At 62.0% G+C, this 25338-nt stretch overlaps 1 protein-coding gene across 12 annotated transcripts, besides 4 other annotated features; it reads right to left on the bottom strand.

Annotated features, from left to right (window-relative positions):
* Positions 1-1957: 1957 nt before the first annotated feature.
* MMP17 (matrix metallopeptidase 17) lies at positions 1958-25336 on the bottom strand. 12 transcript variants are annotated; one of them, NR_182296.1, is made up of 11 exons: positions 25076-25336; positions 15402-15534; positions 14988-15117; positions 12873-13156; positions 11929-12105; positions 9648-9732; positions 8529-8611; positions 8280-8432; positions 4659-4977; positions 3670-3790; positions 1958-2804 (listed from the first exon to the last, which is right to left on the bottom strand). NR_182296.1 is itself a non-coding variant. In NM_016155.7 (10 exons), the coding sequence occupies exons 1-10, from the start codon at positions 25232-25234 to the stop codon at positions 2455-2457; spliced, it is 1812 nt and encodes a 603-aa protein (NP_057239.4). In that variant the 5' UTR covers positions 25235-25336; the 3' UTR covers positions 1958-2454. The 12 variants fall into 12 exon arrangements, 8 of the variants coding, with proteins under 8 accessions (NP_057239.4, NP_001397929.1, XP_011536657.1 ...); NR_182297.1 differs by lacking the exon at positions 4659-4977; NM_016155.7 differs by lacking the exon at positions 4659-4977 and having other exon boundaries at positions 3670-3927.
* Positions 2113-2282: an enhancer, noted in NCBI's record as "experimental_25928 CRE fragment used in MPRA reporter constructs". NCBI's record gives its function as "activates a minimal promoter by MPRAs in K562 erythroleukemia cells, with activity observed for both the introgressed and non-introgressed 12:132336077 variant alleles {active_cell/tissue: K562}" and the evidence as "EXISTENCE:reporter gene assay evidence [ECO:0000049][PMID:34662402]".
* Positions 20558-21167: an enhancer, noted in NCBI's record as "H3K4me1 hESC enhancer chr12:132317107-132317716 (GRCh37/hg19 assembly coordinates)". NCBI's record gives its function as "activates a minimal SCP1, AML or CMV promoter by ChIP-STARR-seq in primed H9 embryonic stem cells {active_cell/tissue: H9 hESC(primed)}" and the evidence as "EXISTENCE:reporter gene assay evidence [ECO:0000049][PMID:30033119]".
* Positions 23000-23609: an enhancer, noted in NCBI's record as "H3K27ac-H3K4me1 hESC enhancer chr12:132314665-132315274 (GRCh37/hg19 assembly coordinates)". NCBI's record gives its function as "activates a minimal SCP1, AML or CMV promoter by ChIP-STARR-seq in naive H9 embryonic stem cells {active_cell/tissue: H9 hESC(naive)}" and the evidence as "EXISTENCE:reporter gene assay evidence [ECO:0000049][PMID:30033119]".
* Positions 23093-23352: a silencer, noted in NCBI's record as "silent region_5100". NCBI's record gives its function as "represses an Ori minimal core promoter by ATAC-STARR-seq in GM12878 lymphoblastoid cells {active_cell/tissue: GM12878}" and the evidence as "EXISTENCE:reporter gene assay evidence [ECO:0000049][PMID:35858748]".

The following is a 25338-nucleotide window of genomic DNA, read 5'->3' as shown; positions in this document are numbered from 1 at the left end:
GAGGCGGGTGGATCACCTGAGGTCAGGAGTTCGAGACCAGCCTGACCAACATGCTGAAACCCTGTCTTTACTAAAAATACAAAAATTAGCCAGGCGTGGTGGTGCCTGCCTGTAATCCCAGCTACTCGGGAGGCTGAGGCAGGAGAATCACTTGAATCTGGGTGGCGGAGGTTGCAGTGAGCTGAGATCTCACCACTGCACTCCAGCCTGGGCGACAGGCTCTGTCTCAAAAAAAAAAAAAAAAAAAAAAAAAGTGAAATCCCAAATGTTCTGTGTGCACCCCGAGCCCATCAGTGCTCAAAAGGTCTTGGGTTTTGGGGATTTCCGACTTTGAATGTGGGGTCAGGGTAGCCTCAGCTGCATGTGCATATCAAAAGGTGGGGGCTCATGAAATGCGTCATGGGCTGGCGGGGCTCCAGGCCCTGCCCCAGGACCCAGCACGGCCACCCCACTGCCAGAGGGAGGTGGGCTGCAGCATGGAGAGGCAAGTTCAGAGCAGCCCCCCTGCCCCGCCTACGGTTCACCTCTTCACCAGAGATAGGACCGGCAGAAGAGGCTTATGACGGAGAGTTTGGACTTCAAAACCGCAGTGAGCCCTGCCAACGTGAGAGCCCGACTCAGCAGACAAGGCCCACAGCCGGCTTTGCACTGGGGCACGACCCAGGACGTGGGGACCACGGGGCTGGGCCAGCTGCACGGGGGAATTCACCCCACAGGCTGCTGGGCAACAAAGCGTGATGAGGAAACACCACTTGGTGCAGGGCAGAGCCAGTGTCCCCGACAGACAGGAGGGAGGTCGGTCTTTCCACAGACTGGTCTGACAGGCAGGGACTCCTCCTGCTCCAGGGAGCAGATGGTGAACAGGCGGGGGACAGAGGACACGGCTGGACTCCATGAGGATGTGGCCTCTCTTCACGGGGAGGTGGCCCGGCTCCATGAGGCCTGGCCTGGGGCCTGCCTGCCCGGCCCTGGCAGCCTCATCCTGGGATGGGTGCCATCCCTGGGATGGGACAAGGGGGCTGTGGGCTTTGGCTCCTGGGTGCCAGGAAGCCTCATCTGCACCCTGGGTGGCCCCAGCCGCTCCCTATGCTGGGCCTGTGGTCAGGAACTTCCTGCTATGTGGGAGTGAATCCCCCACAGTCCAACGGCCACCTCCTCATCCTCACTGAGTCACGTTTGAGGGGGCACCCGGGCCCTCCACAGCCCAGGGCAGATGCTGGTGAGCCAGAGCCTGAGGCCCCGAACCTGTGGCCCGGGGTGCGTCTGTGCCGCAGAGACCAGAGGACTGTGCACCAGCGGGAGGACTGGGCCCTGCAGAGTGGCATCGGCTGCACCCTCTGAACAAGAGGGTACTGCAGGACAGACGCGTCACTCGCCGGCCAGAGTGGGGGCAGGCTGAGGGACTCCGCTGTGGATCTGGAGGCTGGGAGCAAAGGGAGCAAGTGACAGAGTGGCTGGAGCTAGAATCAGCCCCTTGCAGGGAGCACCCTCCCTCCCTCTTGCGCAGGGAGCACCTACCCTCCCTCTTGGGCGCACCCAGGTCCCGGTGCTCGGCCGGGCATCATGGTCTAGTGCTGCGGGGCAGACAGCGTCCCAAGTGGCTCACCCAACAACTGATGCCTTTCCTCGGGCACCTCCCACACTCAGATCTCACTGGGCCAGCTGGCGCCCCGCCCGCCCGTGATGCCCCTGCCTGTAGCACTGAGGCTCATCCCCCGCTGGGCCTCAACTCTCCCATCTGTGACAGGGGCGTGGGGACTCCTCGGGGCACGAGGACTGGAAGAGACAGCGCGGGACGGGCTGATGAACAAGGAGGAATGCGACTGCCGAGACCTCCTGGGAAGCCCCCACCCCAAGTGCAGGTGCGTGGGCCCCTGGTCAGGGTCAAGCCCCTTGAGGCCCGAGGGTACCCACTCCCATGGCCCTGGAGCACCAGGGAGCCCAGCCGAGCCGCTAGAAAGCAGGGAGAGGTCATGTTGGTCTGGAACGCGTCACAGGGGGGACGTGCCGCGGCACCATGTGGGGGGCTCGTCTGTGGGGAGGGCTGCCCCACTGGGGACCTGGGGACGGAGGCCCTGTGGGCCGGCGGGAGCACCAGGCAGCAGTGTGGGTGGGGTTGGTGGCGCCGGCACAGAGAGGGGTGGGCCCCCAGCCCGAGATGCTCCCTCCAGGGCCGGAGGAGGCTGGCGGCGGTGCGGCCTGACTGGGCACCCTTCTGGAGCGGCCACCCCTCGGCTCGTCAGTCAACACAGTCCCTCACTAGGGGACAGCTCCGTCCTTGCCACCTGAGCCTGCCCAGCCCTGGCGGACAGTGCCCTCTGCTGGCCTTCCGGTGCCAGGGTGGCCCGTCCTCATCCCGCGCCAGCACCTCCCCCAGGGACTCCGGCACAGTCCTTGCCCTCTGTGGCCAGGCTGTCCCACCGCCTCTGTCCTCTCATGGGCTCGCGCTGTGTGTCATAGCGTCAGGGCCTGGGCCGCTGTCCACAGGGCGCCTGGTGACAGTGGCGGCAGCAGCAGCAGCATGGTGGCAGCCACCAGTGGGCCTGGGGCCCCCGGGGGAGAGGATGCCCCAGAGGTGCATGAGCAGACCTCGTAACCGTCCTCCGAGCGGCTCTGGTCATGTTGTCCTGGAGGGGCGCGGGGCCCCTCTGCCGCGTCCACGCCCGCAGCCACAGATCCATCGGCCTGTGAGTCTCCACACACCAGCCAGTCCCGGGCCGTGGACTGTGGGTACCCGGGTGCCACCTCCAGCTCGCCATCCAGCACTTTCCAGTACTCCTGGCCACGGAAGAAGTAGGAGGCACCTGAGAAGAGGAGGGAGAGCTGAGCTCAGGGGAGGGCTGCAGCAGGAGGGGCTCGAGCCGGACAGCGAGGAGGGAGCGTTGGGCTCAGGGAGGGCTGCAGCGGAAGGGGCTCGAGTCGGGCCAGACAGCAGGGGGCTTGCACAAGACTGCAGTGGGGGGTCAGACCAGACGGCTGGTGGGGGGCGGCTCGTGCTAGATGGCAGGGGGTGCCCAGATAATATCTGAGATGGGGTCAGCATCTGCTCAGCTGTGGGCAGCTCTGCAGGCATGGTCACAGGCCTGGGAAGCTCCAGAGGAGCCTGCTGGGGCAGGGGATGGACCAGGAGACCCTCAGAGTCTCTTTCCCTTACTGGATATTTATTGAGGGCCCACTCTGTGCAGGGCTGTTCCAGGTGACAAGGATGCAGCGTTGAAAACAAAACAGAGGATGCTGCCGTCCCTGGAGCTGACCCTGTGGGGAGGTTTCTTCTACACTGTGGGACGTGGCAGGGGTGATGCCCAGGAGGGCGTTTGGCAGGGCTGGGGCCGGCGAGGGAGGGGCTGTGTGGACATCTCAGGAAAGTGTGCCCAGACGAGGCATGGCCAGTGCCAAGGCCCTGGGGCAGGAGCGTGGCTGGGGGAGCAGCAGGGGCGAGGGAGTGCTGAGGGCGGGGAGAACAAGGGCAGCTCGTGGGCCAGGCCTTCGGGGAGCGACTCGGGGACGCCTGCAGGGTCGGCAGCTCCAGGCGAGGGGCTGGGACCCTCAGAGCCCACACCGACCGGGGCCGTCCTCCTTTCAGGGAACCTCTTGGCTGCCCTGTAGTGATGCCCCTCTCCTGGTGGGGAAACCAAGGCCGCATGGCCCGTCCCCCCAGCTGGCACTCACCGTCGGACCAGCGCATGGCGTCGTCCAGCGTGCTGGGGACACCCCTCCACAGGGGGCTCTGGGCGGGGTAGCCGGGGTCCATGTGCCTCGTGTGGTCATCGTAGCGCCAGTACAGCTGGTCCTTAAAGAAATAAGTCCTGTCATTGTGGGCCCAGGAGAAGGCAGCGTCGATGCCGCCAGGCGGGAGGCTGAAGTCGGAGACGGGGCGCGGGTATCCTTCCTCTACGTTATTGTCCTTGAACACCCAGTACCTGTCTCCTGGGGGCGAGAGAAACAGCTGTGGGCCGGGGCTCGGCCCCACCCCGAAGGGCAGGAGGCTCCTGCCTTTCCTTCTCCTGTGTCAGCCGCCCTTGCCCTGGCCCCTCACCTGGGCTTGATGGGACAGCGGCCACACTGCAATCACCCCACATCACAGGGGCCACATGGATACTTAGTGAGCACCTACTGTGCCCAGTCCGGGCCATCCCATCCAGCCTGTGGACGCTGCCGGCCACCCCTTTACCGATGGAAACAACAACTCGGGCCAAACCGAGGCCCACGACATGCCATCCTATTATTATTATGATCATTATTTTTTGAGACGGAGTCTTGCTGTGTCACCCAGGCTGGAGTGCAGTGACTTGATCTCGGTTCACTGCAACCTCCGCCCCTGGGTTCAAGCGATTCTCATGCCTCAGCCTCCCGCGTAGCTGGGATTACAGGCGCCCACCACCACACCCAGCTAATTTTTGTATTTTTAGTAGAGACGGGGTTTCACCATGTTGGCCAGGCTGGTCTCGAACTCCTGACCTCAGGTGATTTGCCCGCCCTGGCCTCCCAAAGTGCTGGGATTACAGGTGTGAGCCACCGTGCCCTGCGTTAAATACACTTTTCTCCCAAGAAATATAGATGGCATTGAGCACTTGAAGATGGTCAACGTCACTAGAAACGCCCTCAAAACCACAATGAGACGCCCCCTCGCCCCCACTGTCAAGAACGTGGAAAGTCACCTGTGTCGGGAGGATATGGGGACGGCAGAGCCGGGCGCTGCCGGGGAGGGAGTATGAAATTGTGCAGCCGCTGCGGGAGACAGAACATAGGCTCCCCAAAACGTCAAAAATAGAATTACCACGTGATCCAGCATTCCCGCTTCTGGGTATAAATCCAAAAGAACCGAAAGCAGGGTCTTGGAGAGACGTTTGCACACTCACGCTCATAGCAGCGTCCTTCACAGGAGCCCAGAGTAGAGGAAACCCAAGTGAGCAGGCGAACGAGGTGCAGTCCGTCCGTGCCATGGAATGCCGCTCAGCCTCAGCCAGGAAGGAAATCCTGCCACGTGCCACCGCGTGTATGAGCCCCGAGGACCTTCCGCTGAGTGACACGAGCCAGGCACAGAGGGGCAGATCCTGTCTGTCCCACTGACATGGGGTCCCTGGAACACTCAGAGCCATGGGGACAGCAAGCGAAGTGGGGGTGCCCAGGGGAGGGGCGGGGCTGCCCAGGGGCGGGGCGGGGCATCCGTGTTTCACGGGGCAGCGTTTCCGTTTGGGAAGGTGGAAATCTTCGGGAGGTGGACGCAGGTGACAGCTGCACAGCAACGTGAACGTGCTTCATGCCACCGAGCTGTGGCTTCAAAATGGCTGAAATAGTAAAGTGTGCTCACCACGCCCACAATTTAAAACGACCAAAAAACCAGACCGGGAGTGGTGGCTCATGCCTGTAATCCCAGCACTTTGGGAGGCCAAGGTGGGTGGATCACCTGAGGTCGGGAGTTTGAGATCAGCCTGACCAACACGGTGAACCCTGTCTCTACCAAAAATACAAAAAATTTGCCAGGCACGGTGGTGAGCGCCTGTAGTCTCAGCTACTCAGGAGCCTAAGGCAGGAGAACTGCTTGAACCTGGGAGGTCGAGGCCGCAGTGAGCTGAGATCACACCACTGCACTGCAGCCTGGGTGATAGAGTGAGACTCTGTCTCAAAAAAATACAGTAAAATAAAATTAAAAATAAAAATAATATAAAAAGACCAGAAAAAGTCCTTTGCTGGAGACTGGAAAGGGCTGTGATGTCTGTAAATAGGGGGAGGGATTAAGGAGATGATGGGAGGACCAATGGGCCCTGCCCTGCTATGGCTGAGCAGGAACCAGGACAGATGCGCCTGGTAGGGAACCAGGCAGGGGCAGGCGACACAGGGGACAGAGGGGGAGCAGGGGTGAGACGGCCTGTGGCAAGAGACCCACATGTTCTCAAGTCTCTCCTGGCAGGTGACCAACCCCTCACACCCAGAAATGGGGCTTTATGGTAGCGAAACCTGCAGACACACCTCATCCAGGTGACCACAGCGAACATCACCAGGCAGGGCGGCTCGGGGCTCAGAACACCTGCCCTCGGTGGCATTCCTGCCAGATGTGCAAAACCAGAACCTGATCTGGAGGAGATGCCAGACGGGTCCACCTGGGGGAAGCGGCCTGAACACTTCTAATGTGTGCAAGGCAGGGGAGCCGCACGTGATGGGATCCTGCTCGGGGAGGCTCTACAGGGCACCCTGGGGCCTTTGGCAAGGTGGCCTAGGGGAGGTTAGGAGCAATTGGTCATGAGGTTTGCAAGTAATTTTCTTTTTTCTTTTTTAGTCCAGGTACTGTCTTTGGGGATTTTTTTTTTTTTTTTTTGAGACGGAGTCTCGCTCTGTCACCCAGGCTGGAGTCCAGTGGTGTGATCTCACCTCACTGCAAACTCCGCCTCCCAGGTTCACGCCATTCTCCTGCCTCAGCCTCCCGAGTAGCTGGAACAACAGGTGCCCGCCACCACGCCCGGCAAATTTTTTGTATTTTGTAGTAGAGACGGGGTTTCACCGTGTTAACCAGGATGGTCTCGATTTCCTGACCTTGTAATCTGCCCGCCTCGGCCTCCCAAAATGCTGGGATTGCAGGCGTGAGCCACTGCGCGTGACATTTTGGTTTTTTTTTTTTTTTAGACAAGGTCTTGCTCTGTCGCCCAGGCTGGAGTGCAGTGCACGATCATGGTGCAGTGCAGCCTTGACCTTCTGGCTCAGGTGGTCCTCCTGCCTCAGCCTCCCAGGTAGCTGCAGCCTCTGTCCCTTCAGGAGGGATCAGGCCTCCGGGAACAGTCACCGGAGGGCTCCCAGGTGATGGGGGTGACGGAGTCAAATGCTGAGGGCCGGGCAGGCGATGGAGTTACAGGAAGTGGTTCCCCTGACAGACACGCAGAACACCCTTTACCTCGGCAAGGAAACGGGGTCCCGCCCGTGACTGTGGGAGTGGCTGCCACATTGGATTGAATGACGTCCTCCAAACTCACATCCACCCAGAATCTCAGGACGTGACCTTACTTGGAAAGAGGGTCTTTGCAGATGTGTTAGTTAAGATGAGTTAAGATGGGATTAGGCAGGCCGGGTGCAGTGGCTCACATCTGTAATCTTGGCACTTTGGGACACCAAGGCGGGTGGATCACCTGAAGTCAGGAGTTCGAGACCAGCCTGGCCAACGTGGTGAAACCCTGTCTCCACTAAAAATACAAAAATTAGCCAGGAGTGGTGGCGGGCACCTTGTAATCCCAGCTACTAGGGAGGCTGAGGCAGGAGAATTGCAACCTGGGAGGTGAAGGTTGCAGTGAGCTGAGATCACACCATTGCATTCCAGCCTGGGCAACAGAGTGAGACTTTGTCTCAGAAAAACAAAAAACAAAAAACAAAAAACAAACAGGACTAGGGGACCTGAATCAAGGCCCGGCTTCCTTATAAGAGAAGATGCGGAGATGGGGGAGGAGACGGCCGGGTGGAGACAGAGGCGGTGGCAGGAGGGATGTGGCTGAGGGTGACACTGGATGTGGGAGAGGCCTGGGACAGCCTCCAGAGGGGACCCACCCTGCCTAGCCCTTGATTTCGGACTCGTGGCCTCCAGACTGTGAGGGAAACTCCGGGTGTTTCAGCCCAGCATGGGGGTCTCTGTCCTGCAGCCCTGCCACCCCCACCTGCCCCTGCTACTGTCTCCCTTTCCTGCCCTTCCCGGAGACTTGGAGGCAAAAGGAGTGCTTCCTGTAACACTGCCACGAGGTGGTTCCTGGAACGGTGGGCACCGGGGCCGACCAGGGAGAGGCAGGCCGGCCCTAGCAGCCACGGCCCCTCACGCTTCTGTCCCGAGCCTCCTCCAGGCCCCTGGTACTCCAGCTGCAGCCCCTTTGATGTTTTTGGGACTCGGCAGGGCTGCTCCTGCCTCGCACGGCCGTTCCCCGGGCTGGAACACTGTTCCCTAGTTTCTGCTTGTACAGCATCTCCCTAAGGAGACCTCTCCCCATTGTCCTTCATTTCTGACCACACCGAACGGCACTGGCATCAGCTCCTCCTGACTTGCGGGTGGACTGTGGCCTGACTAGAACGAGGGCAGGGCTTTCCATCGTTTTGCCCTCTGTGTGCCTACAGCGGCTGCCTCAGGACGGGGCATACAGTAGGTGCTCAGAGTGCATCTGCTGAGTGCACAAGCAAACCAGCTGCTCTGTGCTCGACCAGCCTCTGGGCAGACGTAGGGCTTACACGCAGGCTGGACCCTCTCCGTCCCTCCATGAGGCGGACAGAGGGCCCGGGAAGCCCGGAGTGCGACGGGGAGGCCCACCCACCTTTAAAGAAGACGATCTTGTGGTCGCTGGTGCGCTCGTACACGGCGTCCACGCTGTCCAGGTGCAGCGGCAGGCCCCGCCAGAAGCGGTGCATCTGTGCCGGCTGCAGGGACACCAGGTGCCGGTCCCGCGTCAGCCGCCAGAAGTACTTGCCTGGGGGCACAGAGGGGAGGGCCGGGCTGCAGAGACGGTCTGCACCCAGAGTGGGCCATGGCCCTCAGCCAACCGCCACGGGAACCCTGGAGGTACCTTTGAAGAAGAAAGCTTCACCCCGGATCTGGGCCACCGCGTCAAAGTGAGTGCTGCATCTGTGGGGCACGTCCTTCCTGGGCCTGCAGGGAGAGAGCCAGGTGGGCTGGGAGGCGGGGCCTGGGCAGCGCGGGACAGGGCATCCTGCGGCAGAGCCCCTGACCTGAGCGGCATGGGACAGGCATCCTTGTGTGGAGCCCCTATCCTTGCCTAGAGGTCTGCTAAAGGCAAATTAAAACGGGGGTGCCTGTCCACCGCTTCAGCGGGCGGGGGCCGAGATCTACGCTCTGAGCATACAGAGCGCCAGGGAGCTGCGGGGAGGGCAGGAGCTCAGGGGTGGAGACTGGTGTAGCACCCTGGGCCTGGCTGGGTGCCAAACACCCACGCCACGGGACCCCACGCCACGGGACCCCAAGCCCGGGCCTAGAATTCGGTCCTACAAGAAGCGTGTTCACAGCGACGTGGCTGTAGCGACAGAAGGTCAGGGACAAGGTGCATGTCCACCGAGAGACGACTCGACACAGAGCGTGGCTCCTTCGCAGCTTTAACCGGGAGGGTTACACGTACGGTCCTGTGACATCTGGGGCTGGGTGGCACAAGGTCACAGCTTCTACCGGCCTCTGGCAATACCAGCTCTCAAGACAACTTCACTGGGAATCCAGTTGCTGTGGGAGGGTCATGCCTCGTGGAGCAGCCCCAGTGGCCGTCCCAGTTGGGCCCAGCCCTGGCACCAGATGTGGGCCCCGGCAGTGAACATCCCTCCCGCTGGGGGCACAGGCCAGACACTCGCAGGCCCTGCCTGACTTCCTGATGCTGGGAATCCATGAGCTTGATGAAACATTCCTCAAGCTGGGCTGCTTGTCACATGGCAGTAGCTGACAGGGACGAGGGGGAGAGGAAACCTTGTCTGAAGTTCTCATTTCTGTGCAGGACCCCTGGCAGGGGAGGGCCGGTATTAGATGGGGTTTAAGAAAAGACAAAATGTCACTGGGGGCTCAGTCGGCCACACAGCTGTGCGTTTCCCAGGACTCTGAGCCACGATTTGGGGCAAATGTTGCGTGGGACAGGGATGAGGACAGACAGACCCCAGCGGGTGGTGACCGTGGGCCCAGGGCTTACGGGGCGCTGGACCGGTTGTCTGGGGGCTCCGGCAGCAGGGGAGGCTCCTCGGGCTGCGCCGTGGGAGACACAGACTCCCGCACACCTGCGGGAGACAAGGAGGAGGACGGCCTCAAACCCCCGACGCCCGCCTCCCCCCACATCCCACCAGCCCTTCTGAATCCCAGGGATGAAACCGAGGCCACTCAGCAGACAGGCTCTGTGGGGGCGCAGCTGCGATCAGCGAGACTGCTGCCCCCAGAGCTGACGTCGAGGTGGGAGTCAGACCCCTCGCCGAGTTAAACACTCAGTGTGTGAGCACTGCCCTGCAATTCCACCCCGGGGTACACCCTAAAGAGCTGAAGACAGGCGTTCCCACAGGAGCTCGTACACCAGCCTTCACAGCACTGTTCACCGCAGCCAACAGGGGTGACAACCCAGTGCCTGCTATAGGCTGCATGATGACAAAACTATTCAGCCATGAGAATAAATCCAGGTCAAATCCATGCTACCATGGGGTGAACCTGGAACACGCTATGCTCAGTGGAAGAAGCCGGGCCGGGCACAGTGGTTCGTGCCTGTATTCCCAGCACTTTCAGAGGCCAGGGCAAGAGAATTGCTTGAGCCCAGGAGTTTGAGACCAGCCTGGGCAACATGGTGAGACCCCATTTCTACAAAAAAATCTAAAAATTAGCCAGGTGTGATAGTGCATGCCTGTAGTCCCAGCTGTTCAGGAGGCTGAGTCAGGAGGATCACTTGAGCCCAGGAGTTTTGAGACAAGCCTGGGCCACATAGTGAGACCCCCATCTCTAAAAAAAAAAAAAAAAAAAAAAAAGAGGCCAGGTGCGGTGGCTCACGCCTATAATCCCAGCACTTTGGGAGGCCGAGGTGGGTGGATCACGAGGTCAGAAGATCGAGACCATCCTGGCTAACAGTGAAACCCCGTCTCTACTAAAAAAAAAATACAAAAAATTAGCCGGGCGTGGTGGCGGTCACCTGTAGTCCCAGCTACTCGGAAGGCTGAGGTCGCAGCGAGCCGAGATCGCGCCACTGCGCTCCAGCCTGGGTGACAGAGTGAGACTCCATCTCAAAAAAAAAGAGCCAGACACAAAAGGTTGCATGGCTGCATTAGAGGCCCATCTATGAAGAAAGGAGGTCAGGGGTTGCCAGGGGCTGGGGGGATGGGATGGGCGTCGGGTCTCCTTCGGTGGTAGTGGGTGATGAAAAAGTTCTGGAACCAGATAGAGGTGGCATCCACACAACCTTGTGAATGTCCTGAACGCATAGAAGTACACACCTTGAAATTGTGAATTTCTTTCTTTTTTTTTTTTTGAGGCAGTCTCACTCTGCCACCCAGGCTGGAGTGCAGTGGTGCGATCTCAGCTCACTGCAACCTCTGCCTCCCGGGTTCAAGTGATTCTCCTGCCTCAGCCTCCTGAGTAGCTGGGATTACAGGCACCTGCTACCATATCCGGCTAATTTTGTATTTTTAGTAGAGACAGGGTTTCACCATGTTGGCCAGGCTGGTCTCAAACTCCTGACCTCAAGTGATCCACCCGCCTCAGCCTCCCAAAGTGCCGGGATTACAGGTATGAGCCACTGCATCCGGCCAAAAAAGTGAATTGCATGGGATGTGAATTTTACTACAGTGGAAACGATGCATGGATGTCAGAGCATGTGAAGCGGCAAGGACGATGCTGAGGCCGGGAGGGTCCGGGCGGCAGGGGCAGCACTACTGCAGGGTGTGGTGGGCGGTGTGGAGGGCAGCTGGGGCTGGGTATAAGTGAGGTGACCGCGTCGGCCTCTGATGCACGTGTGCTGTCTCCCCGGGGCACCAGCTCCCAGGACAGGGGCTCTGCCTCACTTCCTGATGTGAACCCAGCAGAGGGGTCCCTGGTGCCTGACTTGGCTACTCTTGGGTTTCCCAGGCAATCTACATACCTCTGGGTGCCTCAGTTTTCTCATCTGTAAAGTGGGGACAGTAGTCCTACCTTATATGGCCACAAAGATCAGATGATTTAAGACGTGCAATGTGATTTGCACAGGCCTGGGACGCCATCAACCCTGCCTGTCGTAACTCCACCAGTGTCTGGGGCGCAGAGGTGGAATTCTGATCTAGGGGCTCTGGGGACGTCAGGGGTGGGCTCTGTGGACAGGCCAGAGCGTCCCAGCTGGCACGGCACCATCCGTGGAGGGAACAGCGGGGAGAGCAAACCCTCCCGGGGGGGCTCTGCTCAGGGGTGCCTGGGGTTTCTGACCCCTCTTCCAGGGGCCCTGTGTCTGGCTTCGGGGAGACACTCACCGTACAGCTGCCAGACGCGCACCTTGTCCTCGTAGGGGAGCCCGTAGCGCAGCGGGTCACCCACCGGGCCCTGGTAGTACGGCCGCATGATGGAGTGTGCAGCGGCCACATGGCTTAACCCAATGGCGTGGCCAAACTCGTGGACAGCCACTGCAAACAGGTCCATCCCGTGGGCATCTGGGGACACAGGGAGCCATGTGAACTAAGGGCAAGAAGGGCCCTGTCCCCGCGGGGAGGGACCAGCAGGCCCCCACCATGCTCTGGGGTGACCATGGGGATGCCTCGATGCCGGCTGCGCCAGAGGGATTCTGCAGGGTTACTGGGAATTAACGCGATTCCCCTGGGGGCTCTGTGGGGCCTGCTGGGCTTCCCAGGCCTGGGGTCTTTGTACCATTCATGGAGCGGCTGATAACCTTTTCTGCATAAGGCCACACAGATAACACCTTGTGCCTGGGGCCTGGGTTACATGGGGCCAGGTGTCGGTCGGATGACCTGAGGCCCAATGCTGTGGGCACTGACCCCTGGCCCCACAAGACGGGCCTGGGCTCCCAGGACTGCATGGTTCCCAAGGCTACAGTCCAGAGGTCAGAACAGCCTCTGCAGAGCTGAGACTTCTGCAGACAACGGGACTTAGCGGGAGTGACACTGAGCCGGGGCCACAGAGGCCTCGCAGGCCTCCTGCTCTGTCAGGTGCTGAGAACGTGATGAGGACAAGCTCGGCTCAGCCAGCGGTGTCCCTGCCCGACAGGCCAGCACCCAGCGAGGTCAGCCGGGCCGAGCACAGATGCTGTGAGATCGGCCTAGTGGGAAATGCCCAGCCGTGCTCAGGAGCAGCCGCGTGTGTTTTCAGCCGCAGGGTTGGGGATGGGGGGGCCATGGCTGCTCCTCAGCCTCACAGGCCGCTGGGGCTCCTGACTCTGCCCTGAGGGCTGCCCCAGACGCACCCGAGGAGCGGAAGGTCCAGGCCTCGTCATCGTCAAAGTGGGTGTCCCCGGCGGTGTGGTGGTGGCCGGGGAAGAAGGCGTGGGCCACGGTGCCGCCGGGGCCGTCGAAGGGGTAGCCGTCGTTATGGTCGGCCTTGGAGAAGTCGATCTGGATGTCGGCGGCGCTGCCCGCCACCTCGTGGAAGTTCAGGGGCGCAATGTCGCTCCAGACCTTGAGGGCGTAGTACATGAGTGCACGCACCGTGTCGTGCCCCAGTGGTGAGTCCCGTGGGAACGTCCGGACCCTGCAGGCAGGGGTCAGCCCAGAGTGAGTCACGGAGAACAGGCCACGTGCCCCAGGCCGAGGTTCCCTGAACGCCCCTCCTCAGCCCGGGGGTGCCCCTATGAGGGTCTCCCCCATCTTCCGCCTTCCTCCCCACGCCAGGAGTCATCCGATGCACTCACGGCGGTTCCAGTAGTTCACTGGGATAGATGACGGAGGGAGGGAAATGAGAGCCCAGGCAGGCTGAGACCCCCAGGCCACAGGCAAACGTCAGCTCCCGCGTGGAGCCATCAGCCCCAGGGCCCTCAACGGTGCGTCCCGTCTGCCCCATCCCCCTGCTCCCCACTGAAGGGGCTCTCTCGGTTCACCAGCCCTCACACTAGCCAGGGCCCATCTGAGATAGTTTTGACTCCGGGGGACAGCAGAAGGTGAGTGGGTCACATAGTGTCCCGCCAAATTCACGTCCATCCGGAACCTTAGAATATGACCTGGTTTGGAAATAGGGTTGGCTGGGTGTGGTGGCTCACACTTGTAACCCCAGCACTTTGGGAGGCCAGGGTGGGCAGATTGCTCGAGCTCAAGAGTTCAAGACCAGCCTGGTCAACATGGCAAAACCCTGTCTTTACTATTTTATTTTTATTTTTTTTCAGACAGAGTCTCACTATGTTTCCCAGGCTGGAGTGCCATGGCACAATCTTGGCTTACTGCAGCCTCCGCCTCCCAGGTTCAAGTGATTCTCCTGCCTCAGCCTCCCGAATAGCAGGGATTACAGGCACACATCACCATACCCAGCTAATTTTTGTATTTTTAGTAGAGACGGGGTCTCACCATGTTGGCCAGGCTGGTCTCGAACTCCTGACCTCAAATGATCCGCCCGCCTTGGCCTCCCAAAGTGCCATGATTACAGGCGTGAGCCACCATGCCCAGCCCTGTCTCTAGTAAAAATACAAAAAATTAGTTGGGCCTGGTGGCTCGTGCCTGTAATCCCACCTACTTGGGAGGCTGAGGCAGGAGAATTGCTTGAACCCAGGAGACAGAGGTTGTAGTGAGCCAAGATTGCAACACCGCCCCCCAGCCTGGGTGAAAGAGACTCTGTGTCAAAAAAAAGAAAAAAATTAGCTGGGTGTGGTCATATGCACCTGCAGTCCCAGCTACTCGGGAGGCGGAGGCAGGAGGATTGCTTGAGCCCAGGATGTCAGGGCCACAGTGAGCTGTGACTGCGCCACTGCACTCCAGCCTGGGTGACGAAGTGAGACCCTGTCTCAAAAAAAAAAAAAGAAATAGGGTCTTTGTGGATGTCATGAGGGGTTGACATGAGGTCACACTGGATCAGGGTGGGCCCTAAATCCGAGGAGCATCCTGGAGACACGGGAGAGGAGGCTGCGCGCGGACAGGGCAGGGTGGAGGCAGAGGCTGGTGATTCCATCGAGGGCTGCCAGCAACTGCACAGCTGGATAGAACCCTGGACAGATGCTCCCTCTACCTCCCCAGGGCACCATCCAGCCTACTCCTTTGCAGGGACTCCTGGCCTCCAGAGTGGGGAGAGAGCTCCTGCTGCTGTCTGAAGTACCCTGGTTTGTGGATATCTACAGCAGGCCCAGACACGGAGACATGGGGGCCCCACTCCTCACCCTGGCCACGCACCCGCCTCCACGGAGACCCCGTTCCCCACCCTGGCCACGCGCCCACCTCCACGGAGACCCTGTTCCTCACCCTGGCCACGCACCCGCCTCCACGGAGACCCCGTTCCCCACCCTGGCCACGCGCCCACCTCCACGGAGACCCCGTTCCTCACCCTGGCCACGCGCCCACCTCCACGGAGGCCCCGCTCCTCACCCTGGCCACACACCCACCTCCACGACAGGTTCCTCTTGTTCCACTTGGTGGGGGCTGGAGCCTGGCGTCTCCTGCGAGCCTGGGTCAGGACAGGGAGGTCTGGCAGGGAGCAGCGTGGGGTTTTCATCAGGGCCAGGGTGGCCTCGTCTGCAGGGAAAGCATGGAGCTCAGAGCCTAGCCCAGCTCACTCCCCACCCTAGGATCCCGAGCATCCGCAAGGGTGGGAGCCCTGACTCTGGCACCAGCCTCCGAGCCGCCCCCTCCTCCCACGTCATCTTTGGGGGACCAGCCCCAGGCTCTGAGCTACACCAGGCCAGGACCCAGGTTCATTCAAGCATAAGACGGGACTGTGCCTGATCAGAGGGGGCATGGCCGACGGGCGCAGACCTGACGGGGGCCACGGCGCTCCCGCTGCCCCCTGGAGAACTGACCCAGGATGCCGGTGGCCTCCAGGCCACCAAACTGCTGCATGGCTGTGATGGCCTTAGACAGCTCCTCTTGCGTCTGCAGCTGCCCTGTTGTGGGGTCAGCCGGGGGCAGGTAACCGAACCTGCTTAGCCACTCCTGAGGGCAGAGAGCAGGGTGAGGGGGTGCAACAGAGGGCCCGGTCCTACCCAGTGAGAAGCCTGCCACGGGCCACCACTGCTTCCGGGCAGGCCCCCTCCCAGCCCCCTATCTGCCCACAAGGCACCTCTTGTCTCTTCCCTGGGCAGCTGCCGGAAAAGTGTCTTAATAAACCTGATGTCCCTGGCCGGGTGCTGTGGCTCACGCCTGTAATCCCAGCAGTTTGGGAGGCCGAGGCAGGCGGATCATGAGGTCAGGAGATGGAGACCATCCTAGCTAATATGGTGAAACCCCGTCTCTACTAAAAATACAAAAAATTAGCCGGGTGTGGTGGCAGGTGCCTGTAGTCCCAGCTACTCGGGAGGCTGAGGCAGGAGAGTGGTGGGAACCCAGGAGGCGGAGCTTGCAGTGAGCCGAGATCGTGCCACTGCACTCCAGCCTGGGCGACAGAGCAAGACTCCATCTAAAAAATGAATAAATAAATAAATCTGATGTCCCTTAGATGGTGTGAGCTTGTGCCGTGCACGACCTGTACAACCACTCATGGCAACCCTGCCCCACCCCACGCCTCCTGAGACCGCAAAATGCTAGGGAACCTTCAAAAGGCTCTTAAATGTGGCCAGTGTCAAATGCAGGCTCTCAGCTGACTTGTGACAGGGAAGTCTAGCATCCAAGGTCTGGGACCCCAGCTGAGAAAGGCTGTGGCTCAGACACCAGTTTAAGGAATTGGGCCATGCTGTACATTCATGGGGGAGATAAGAGCCCAGGCTTGGCCGGTGCTGTGGCTTATGCCTGAGATCCCAGCACTTTGGGAGGCTGAGGCGGGAGGATCGTTTGAGCACAGGAGTTGCAGACTGTGTCTGCAACAGAGCGAGACCCTGTCTCAGAAACAAAAGCCAGGTTCCAGCCAGGCTGCCTAGGTTCAAATCCCACTCAGCCACCTCCCCGCTGTGTGCCTGGGGCAAGGCAGTCCACCCCTCTGGGCTCCTTCCTCAGAGTCCTTGGCAGGCTGGTGATGAGGACGTGAGCCAGGACGTGGAAAATGTTCACACCAGCACCTGGCGCAGGGGACAGCTCTGCTCTGAAGGGCCCACTGGGGTGGGTGCAAGGCTACCCACACCGGAGCTGAGTAGGAGCAGGAATGAGGGCAGCCCTTTAACCTGGGCATAAATCAAGCCCTGGCCCCATGCCCCAGTCATCTCTGCTACCCTGGAGGGGCCCTGGGGACAGGGGGGCCTGGATGCCATCTGTGGGGACCTGGGTGCCATCGTGGGGACCTGGGGATGGCAGGCCTGGGTGCCATCTGTGGGGGCTACCTCCACCCCTAGCTTCAGTTTCTTCAACCGCCAAATGGCGCCTGTGCCCACTTGCAGGCTGCCATGAAGCTGCTGCTCTGCCCTGTGGATACTCGCCAGCCCAGGGAACCACAGCAGGGGTGAGGCGGGCTCCAGAAAGGTACAAGCCAGGGGTGATGTGCTGGGGGCTCTGCCCTGCCTGCAAACCTGTCTTTTTTTTTTTCTCTGGACATTTAGAAAATGCTTGTGAATCGCTATTATTTACCACCTCTCATGTATTCATTGGCCAAATCATATGAAAGTGCCCATTTTTGACCATTTCTGATTTAAAATAAATACTAGTAGTTTCATGTGGCTTAACCTAAAAAAATGCATAAATGAAAAAAACATAACTTTTTAAAGAAATCCTAAAAAAAAAAAAAAGGAAAAAGAAAAAAGAAAATGCTTGTGACTCATTTATGCCACCTGCTGGGCCTCCAGGTTCTGGTCTGCAGGAGCTGGTGATGGGGTGGTCCTGGCCAACCCTCCTGCCCACCAGCAGGCAGTGCTCAGAGGAATGAGGCACCACCATCCTGGAAGTCCCAGGGGCATCAGCAACAGGCCGTGCTGGCCAGGAGGGGCCTCACAAGACACTACATGGGATCTGCACACCCCGAGATCCCCCTTCCAGGAAGCACTGAGTCCTTCCCGGGGCCCCCCTCTGTGCCTTTACCCCCTTTCCAAACCCTACTGACCCAGCCCAGCCCCTCAGCCCCTTGGGGAAGCCAAGAGTGTGTACAGAACTGGGGGCCCCTCCAAAGCTATAGGCACGACAGGACGTCAAAGTGGACGTTCATGACTGGGGTGGGCAGCTTCTCTGGAGGGGCCTTGGGGGTGACAGCCTTGGCCTTGACAAGCTGGCCTCCCACTTCCGCCCTGACCTCCAGGGTGTGGGGATCTTTGGCCCCGAGCATCCGGTCCCACACTACCTTGCACCTGCAGGGTTTACTGAGGGTGTCCCATGATCAGTCACCGCTGTAGGTGCTGGAGATGCCCATCAGCACATTCTGCACTTTTTAGTCCTTTGTTAAGATCACAGCTCAACAGGGCCACTGTGCCTCATGGTTACAATAGCCTGTCACCTCCTCCAGGAAGCACTCTGGAGTTTCCTCACATCATCTATGATATTGGATGATGACCCCCTGCCCCCTCACCAGGGAAGGGTCCACACAGGCAGGTGCCTTTCCCACCCAGGCCAGCTGCTGCCTGGGTTGGGCCAGCAGGTGCTGAGACCCCTTGGGAGGACAACTCACCCCCCAGCCTTCCCGTCTATAAGCTGAGGTCATGGCTGGTAGCTGCACTGAGTGGCCCATTTACTCTGTGGGGTTCACGGTGGCGGTTTGGGGCACCCCCCACTCTGGTCCCCAGGGAGCTGGGCAGCCTGGCCACGAGGCCACATGCATTTCAGGAAAGTGGAGCCGGGCCTGGCAGGCAGCACTCCCAGTGGCTGTGGAATGTTGCCCAATGTTTGGAAGCAGGTGGTTTAGTTGCAGGTGTGAGCGGCCAGCCTGCTTCAACTCATAGAACCAGGGCCCCAGCACCAGCCCGGGACAGGCAGCCCCGCCCATGATAAACAGGCACTGTCGCCTGTGGCCCCAGAGGCACTGGAATTTGAGCATAGAATGGCATCGAATCTTGGGGGGTGGTGGGTCTGTGGGGCAGGGCTGGTGGGTGCCTCCTACCTAACACGAGTTTGTGCTCAGGGGGCTGTGCCCCAAATCTCAGGCTAGGCATCCTGGGAGGGGCCGTCTTGGGGGCTGGAGTGAGAGGGTGGGAACCACTTCCTAGTTTGCCAGGGACACCCCAACAGAACAAGCCTTGCAGGTTTGGGAGCCACCAGCCTTCGGGTGGACACAGGTAGAAGTGGCCACCTGCCCCAGGGGGCCTCCTGAGCCCACGAGGCGCCCTCGCCCAGCCCTGACCTGTCCTGTGCTCCCAGTGTGGGTGGAGGCGCGGCTGTGGGGAGGCCTGAGCCTGCAGGGAAGAGGCGGCAGGCAGCTCACCAGGCAGCTCAGGTCCATCTGGGAGGGGGCGGCTGATTCCTGGCTAGGGCTTGGAAATGTTGACCCAGGCTAATGGGGTGGTGGTGGTGGCAAGGTGGGCTTGTTAGCTAAGGGGAGTAGGGGTTAACCAGGCCTGGAGCACAGTCCTGGGGCAAACCCCCCCACTGCAGCCAGCAGCTCAGGGCAAATGTGGCTGCCCCTCCCCACCCCTCCTCTCCCGCCAGGCCTCTACCCTGACCCACTCCCACCCACAGTGGGTAGGGGGATGCCTGCTGTAGGATGGCCGCTGGGGTGGGGGCCCAGACTCCCCGCTCCAGGTGTCCCCCTCCCTGCCCCCTGCCCCCAGTACCTACAGAGCCTGTGGATCCCACGCAGGCAGGGGGGCGTCTGATCCTGGGAACCTGCTACCTGCCCCCCTCCACGCCCACCCGCCGCCTGGTCCTCCCTCTGCTGTCGCCACGGAGACCGCTGTCTCCAGGGCAACAGAGGCTGTGGCGGGCGGGTGCTGCAGCAGCAGCAGGGTGAACCTTCCAGAAGGCCACTGGGGAGGGGGAGGGGCTGCCGGGAGGAGGGAGGAGGCGGGAGGGGGCTGCCAGGAGCTCCAGGGAGCCCCAACCCACGGCAGCCACCCCCTGGCTGATGCTGATTTCTGGAGCTGCCTAGGAGAGGCGGCCGCTCTCCTGCTCCTCCCATGGGCTGGGCCATTACCAAAGATGGGGACACAGAGGCCAGAGGCAGAGCCCTGCCCTGGGGGGCACAGGCAGGAAGTGGGCACCCACAGCCCCTGACTCTGACGCAGATGCAGGCAGCTGCCCAGGCCCACTCTGGATTCACCGTTCAGCCATGCTTGTTGTCTGACACAATGCGTATCTGTTTCCAGCCTTAAGAGGGCGTAATGCACACAGCACAGAATTCCCTTTGACGGTTTTTAGGGAATTTATGGTTTTTGGGGAGTTTATGGAGTGCAGGCCCCGTCCCCGGGCTTTGGGTTGCACTGATTGGTTGTAACGGCCCCTCCCGCCCAGGGCACCCTGGCTGGCGGGTGCATGTGTGGCCTTGCTGTGCCATGGTGGTGGCGCCTGGGCCTGGCCCCTGCAGATGAATGAGGGCCCGACCCCCATACTCATCTGTGACCCAACCTGCATGGGGCCTGGGGGCAGGGAGAGCAGGTGTCATCAGCCCCATTTTACAGATGAGAAAACTAAGGCTCAGAGAGTGTGGATAACCTGTCCACGGTCACACAGCACACGGTCAGTGATGGAGCTGTGGTGTGGTCCCAGCAACCACGTCTGACCCACTCAGCCATGCGGGGTTCCCCTGCACCGGCCTCCTCTGGGGGCTGACCCTCGGTTGGAGTGACCCCCTTGCTCCAGCCTCTTCCGCAGGGACACTGCCAGATCCCCTGAATCCGTCTGTCTGAGCAACTGGGGAGAGACTGAGACCGCGGGACCCCATCCCACTGCCCACAGGGGAAGACGGGATCGTGAGGAAGATAAATAGCAAACACCTGAACACATACACGCGTCTCAGGCGGTCATTATGTCCTGAACAGTAATAACTGCTCTATTCGATCCTAACAGCCAACAGTTATCCAGCACTACCCAACCATGCCCACGTCATTCGTGCCCATGTCCCTCAGGCACTGCAAGGCTGGGGGTGGTCCCTGCTGGAGGGTGCCTGGCACAAAGCAGGTGCTCACAGGCAACTGAGGGTTAACCTTATGAAGTGGGTGTTCTTATTACTCCCAGTTTACAGATGAGAACACGGAGGCACAGGGAGTTCGGACATGTATCCTCAGCTCAGCCCAGGCTGTTGGCTTCCGGGTCTCCGCCTGTGACCACTGTGCTGTGTGGGGGTGAGGGATGGGCTGGAGGGCTGATGAAATGGGTGCTCAGGGAACATCCTGGGGGACACGGAAGGAGCTGTCCAGGTGATGCGTGGGGCGGTGCTCACATGCTCACGGTGGTGGGGACAGCAAGTGCAAAGGCCCTTTGGCAGGGAAAACACACAGCGCAGAGGAGCGGGTGTGACAGAGTCAGGGGGCGGGGTGGAGAAGGAGGTGGGCCAGATCGCGTGGAGCCCTTGGGGCCAACATGAGGAGGGGACTTGCTTATTACTGCAGGGTCCACAGGGGAAGCCAGGCTCCACACCCCGTCCTGTCCCTGCCGTCCTGTCCCACTCAGACGGTGCCCAGGAGGGCCCGAATCCCAGAGGCGGGTGCCCAGGAGGGCCCGAATCCCAGAGGCGGGTGCCCAGGAGGCTCCCACCCACTGCGTGACAGAAACGCCGCCCTGCATGCGTCTGACACCTGCCCTGCGTCCACAGCCAGGGCAAGCGTCCCACGGGATCTGCTGCCAACAAGGAGGCAAACTCACGCATGCGCAAAGTGCCCCTGGAACCCCCAGGAAGACACTGTGTCAGGGAACACCCTGCAGTGCCCCCAGATCCTCTCCAGCCTTCCCCCTTCCCGTTCCCCCACAAGATCCTCTCCAGCCTTCCCCCTTCCCATCCCCCTCCCGGATCCTCTCCAGCCTTCCCCGTTCCCGTCCCCCCGATCCTCTCCAGCCTTCCCCCTTCCCGTCCCCCCCAGATCCTCTCCAGCCTTCCCCCTTCCCTTCCCCTCCAGATCCTCTCCAGCCTTCCCCCTTCCCGTCCCCCCCAGATCCTCTCCAGCCTTCCCCCTTCCCTTCCCCCCCAGATCCTCTCCAGCCTTCCCCCTTCCCGTCCCCCCCCAGATCCTCTCCAGCCTTCCCCCTTCCCGTCCCCCCCAGATCCTCTCCAGCCTTCCCCCTTCCCTTCCCCCCGCAGATCCTCTCCAGCCTTCCCCCTTCCGGTCCCTCCCCATCCTCTCCAGCCTTCCCCCTTCCCGTCACCCCCCAGATCCTCTCCAGCCTTCCCCCTTCCGGTCCCTCCCCCAGATCCTCTCCAGCCTTCCCCCTTCCCATCTCCCCCCAGATCCTCTCCAGCCTTCCCCCTTCCGGTCCCCCCACGCCGATCCTCTCCAGCCTTCCCCCTTCCCGTCCCCCCCCAGATCCTCTCCAGCCTTCCCCCTTCCTGTCCCTGAACCATCGGAAGCACCTCCGCTGATCGCACGGCAGCCTGTCCTCACTGGCCCCATTGCGCAGACAGGGAGACTGAGGCCCGGCACTTAGTTGGGTGGCAAAGCCCACGTCCAAGGCAAACAACATCCCCGGAGCCATGAAGACGGCTGTCAGAAGGGGACCGCGGAGCAAGGGACAGTCAGACGTCTCTCATGGCGAAATCAGGCCATGGTCTAACCCTCCTGCCTGTCTTGGTTTTGGCTGGGGGTGCTCGCCTGAAGCTCTGGGAGCAGCTGCAGGGTGAGAGGGGACACCCTGGCCCCAGCCAGGGCGATGACAAGGTCCTGAGGGCCAGGAACCCAGAGGCCACCGGCAGAAGCCAGGACATGGAGGGCGGCTGCCACCTGGCACCATCTGGCCCAGCATCCCACAACCTCAGCAGTACCCCCCACCTGCCCCGCCCCACCCCACCTCCTACAGAAGATCAAGGGAGCTGCCACTGTGCCGTGGGCGCGGTGATGACAGCCACAGGCTGTGCTGCCGAGAGGAGAAATGGAGCAGAAACTTTAGAGCAGCTTGTCAAAATCTGCCACCACACAACTGCCACCCAGGACCCAGATCCCGAGACACTCTCGCCGCGAGTCCGGGAAGTTCTGGCCAGAAGCAGGCTGCAGGCCGAGCCTGGCTTAACCAGGTGAATAGACGGGCGGCTCCGGCACAGACACTCCAGATAGCGTGCGAAGCTGCAATCGCACGGCCCACGGTGCCACCGTGCAAAAATAAGGCACGGAGAGCCGCGTCCCATCCGTGCCCAGGAACCAGGGGCGGGAGGGAGGCGGACGCCTGTGGAGACCCTGGGCTGCTCGCTGTATGTCGTACTCAAAACACAGAAAGACAAAAAACTCAGGCCCACAAGGACAAGCAGCCCCGCCAAGGACCCCCGGGGGGACAGTGCGCTCTTTTGTCCCCGCCGGGGGCTCCTGAAAGCCCGGCTCCGCAGCCCAGCAGCCTGAATCCCGGCCTTGTTCACGTGCATACGGGGGGCGCTCCGGGGCGGGCCCTCCCCTCCAGCCCCGGCTCCAGCCCTGCTGGGTGCAGCTCTGTCTGCAGCTCTGAGACAAAGGAGCACTTCTCGTCCCTGGCGCCCAGACCTGAATATCAGTCCACTCCGGGAGCGCCTCCGGCGAGCGGGCGGAGGAGGAGTCCCCGCTCCCGCCCAGATCCCGGCCTCCTCGTCCCTCCCCGCGGGGAAGCCGCCCGCCCCTGGGCCTGAGCTCGGCCCGCGGTTCCCCGAGGGCCAGCAGAGGACGCCCCGCACCGCCAGTGTGAGCAGGAAGCCGCGGCAGGACGGAGGCTCCACGCCAGGCCGGGCCCGACACGGAGCGGGGCTCCAGGCAGGGGGCTGCCCGCAGCGTCCTCCCTCTCCGGCTGGACACCGGGGCCCCACTCACTGCCCCCGGCCAGGCTGGGGAGCCACATCCTCCGCTCGGTGCTGTCGCAGGGCGCGGGGCGGGTGACCCCCGGGGTGCCAGGAGAGACCGAGGCGCAGGTACCAGCCGAGAGGAGGGCGCCTGACCCACTCTCTCCGGGCAGGGGGGCAGGTGGGTGGCGAGAAACTTCCAAACCGCACTGGGTCTGATCAGCCAACATGGCTCGGCCGGGGGTCCATCCTCCTGAGTGTGTGGGCCCCACCTTGAGTCCTTCCCTGGCATTGCCCCGGCCCCTTCTGCGGCACCCTCGGACCTGGAAGGCGGGCCTGGGTTCACCTCCCTCCACAGCTGGAGACCCCAGGCCCCCAGGGCGTGATTCTCAGTGGGGGATCCGGGAGATCCGCACCTACAAAAGGGTCTTGAGGAGGTGGAGGGGGGCACCCCAAGTTCACAGGCTGCCTGGCTGGAAGGAAGCCACTGTGGGGACCTGCAGGCACCTGGACGCGGGCAGCAGGGACAGTGGCCAGCACCCTCCCAGATGGCTTCGGGGCCTGGGGCAAACGGTGGCCAAATCGGCTTCCCATCCAGACCCCCTGGCCAAGTCCTGCCAACCACAGGGGCTGCGGGTGCCACCCAAGTGGCCCCTCCATATGCCTCGACTGCCTGAAATACACCTGCGCTGACTTGCTTGGACCCCAAGGTTTTGGAGCTCCTGAATGTCCACTGCGCTGGGCGAGGGGCCCTGCCAGGACCCCACTGGGAGACTGTCCGCGGACGAGGGCCAGGCCGAGTACTTGTGTGGGGCGGGGAGGCCTCGGCTCCTGGCCCGACTCCCTGGGTAGGAGTCCATTGAAGGCAGCGGTGGGGCAGGAGCCTCAGAAGGAACCAACGAACCCAGCGGGAGTTCACCCGGCCGCCCCAGCGGGGGGGCGCTGACCCCACGACGTGTGCTCTAAATCTTCCGGGTCCACAGGAGACGCGAGTCCCGGCTGCGGAACAGGGGAGGGGGCTGTAGGAAGAGGCCACGTCGCTGCCCCCAGGCAGGGTTTCTAAGCTGAGCTGGGGACAGCTACTGGGTGTGGAGTGAGGAAGGCTCTCCCCGCGCCCCCGGCTCAGCACTGTACCAGGGCAAGGCAGGGCCAGCCTGGCCGACCTGGGGTGGAGGGGAAGGAGGCTGAGGGCCAGGTCCTTGTCCAGTGGGGAGCTGGGGGCCAGCATCCCTGTGCCCCCAACACCCTCAACCGAGCAAACTCGGGGGCTCAAGGCTTTCGGGGTGCCCCCACTCCGTAGCCCCTGCCCTTCCTCGCTTTGTGGGTGCGTGCTCCTGCCCCCGCCACTCCCACCCGGAACGCACGCAGCGCGCAGAGCTCGGGGCGGCCGCGATGCCTGCTCTCGCCCAGCCCGGCTGCTCCGGGGCTGCTGCAAGCCGGCGACCCGGGCTCCGGGTGGGCGACCCCCTCACAACTCCACGGGCTCCTGCGGCTGCGGCGCGCTCCCAGCGCACGGAGCCGGGACGGCAGCCGGCGCCTCCCCAGGACTCGCGTGCGCTCGCCCGGTCGCTCAGCCCGCGTCCCTGCCTCAGTCTCCCCACCCAGGAAATGGGTCCAGGGCGCCAGGGCTCCCGCGCGACGCCGACGTGCACTGCTGGGGTCTTCCCGGTCCCCGCCACCCGGCCCGCGGAGACCCCCGGCTCCGGCCCAGGAGCTCCGCGCCCGTCCCGCCCGCGCGCTCACCACTCCCAGGCTGAGGTCCTCGGCGCGCGGCGCGGGTGCGGGCGCGGCGCAGCCCCCGCGGGTCCCCAGCGCCAGCAGCAGCAGCAGCGGCAGCGGCAGCCGCGAGAGTCCGGGCCCTGGGGGCGGCGGGCCGGGTCCCCGGGCTGCGCGGCGCCGCATGGCGCTCACATGGGCCCGCGGGCGGCGTGCAGGGTCCCGCGCCCTCCGCTTCGCGTTCCGCAGCCCGGCGCCCTCCGCTCTCCGCGGCGCCCCCGCCGGACTGA

Source organism: Homo sapiens, chromosome 12 (assembly GCF_000001405.40).
Source record: "Homo sapiens chromosome 12, GRCh38.p14 Primary Assembly".
NCBI lineage: Eukaryota > Metazoa > Chordata > Mammalia > Primates > Hominidae > Homo > Homo sapiens.
Note: the sequence above shows the minus strand (reverse complement) of the source record. Positions and strands in the feature narration are given on the sequence as shown.

Excerpts from the sequence above, each read along its gene's own strand:
- MMP17 (NM_016155.7), bottom strand. The coding sequence starts at position 25,234 with ATGCGGCGCCGCGCAGCCCGGGGACCCGGCCCGCCGCCCCCAGGGCCC. Across the intron at positions 15,118-15,401 it reads GGAGGCCACCGGCATCCTGG|ACGAGGCCACCCTGGCCCTG; the intron begins GTCAGTTCTCCA and ends CTTTCCCTGCAG. Across the intron at positions 12,106-12,872 it reads CTGGACCTTCCGCTCCTCGG|ATGCCCACGGGATGGACCTG; the intron begins GTGCGTCTGGGG and ends CTGTGTCCCCAG.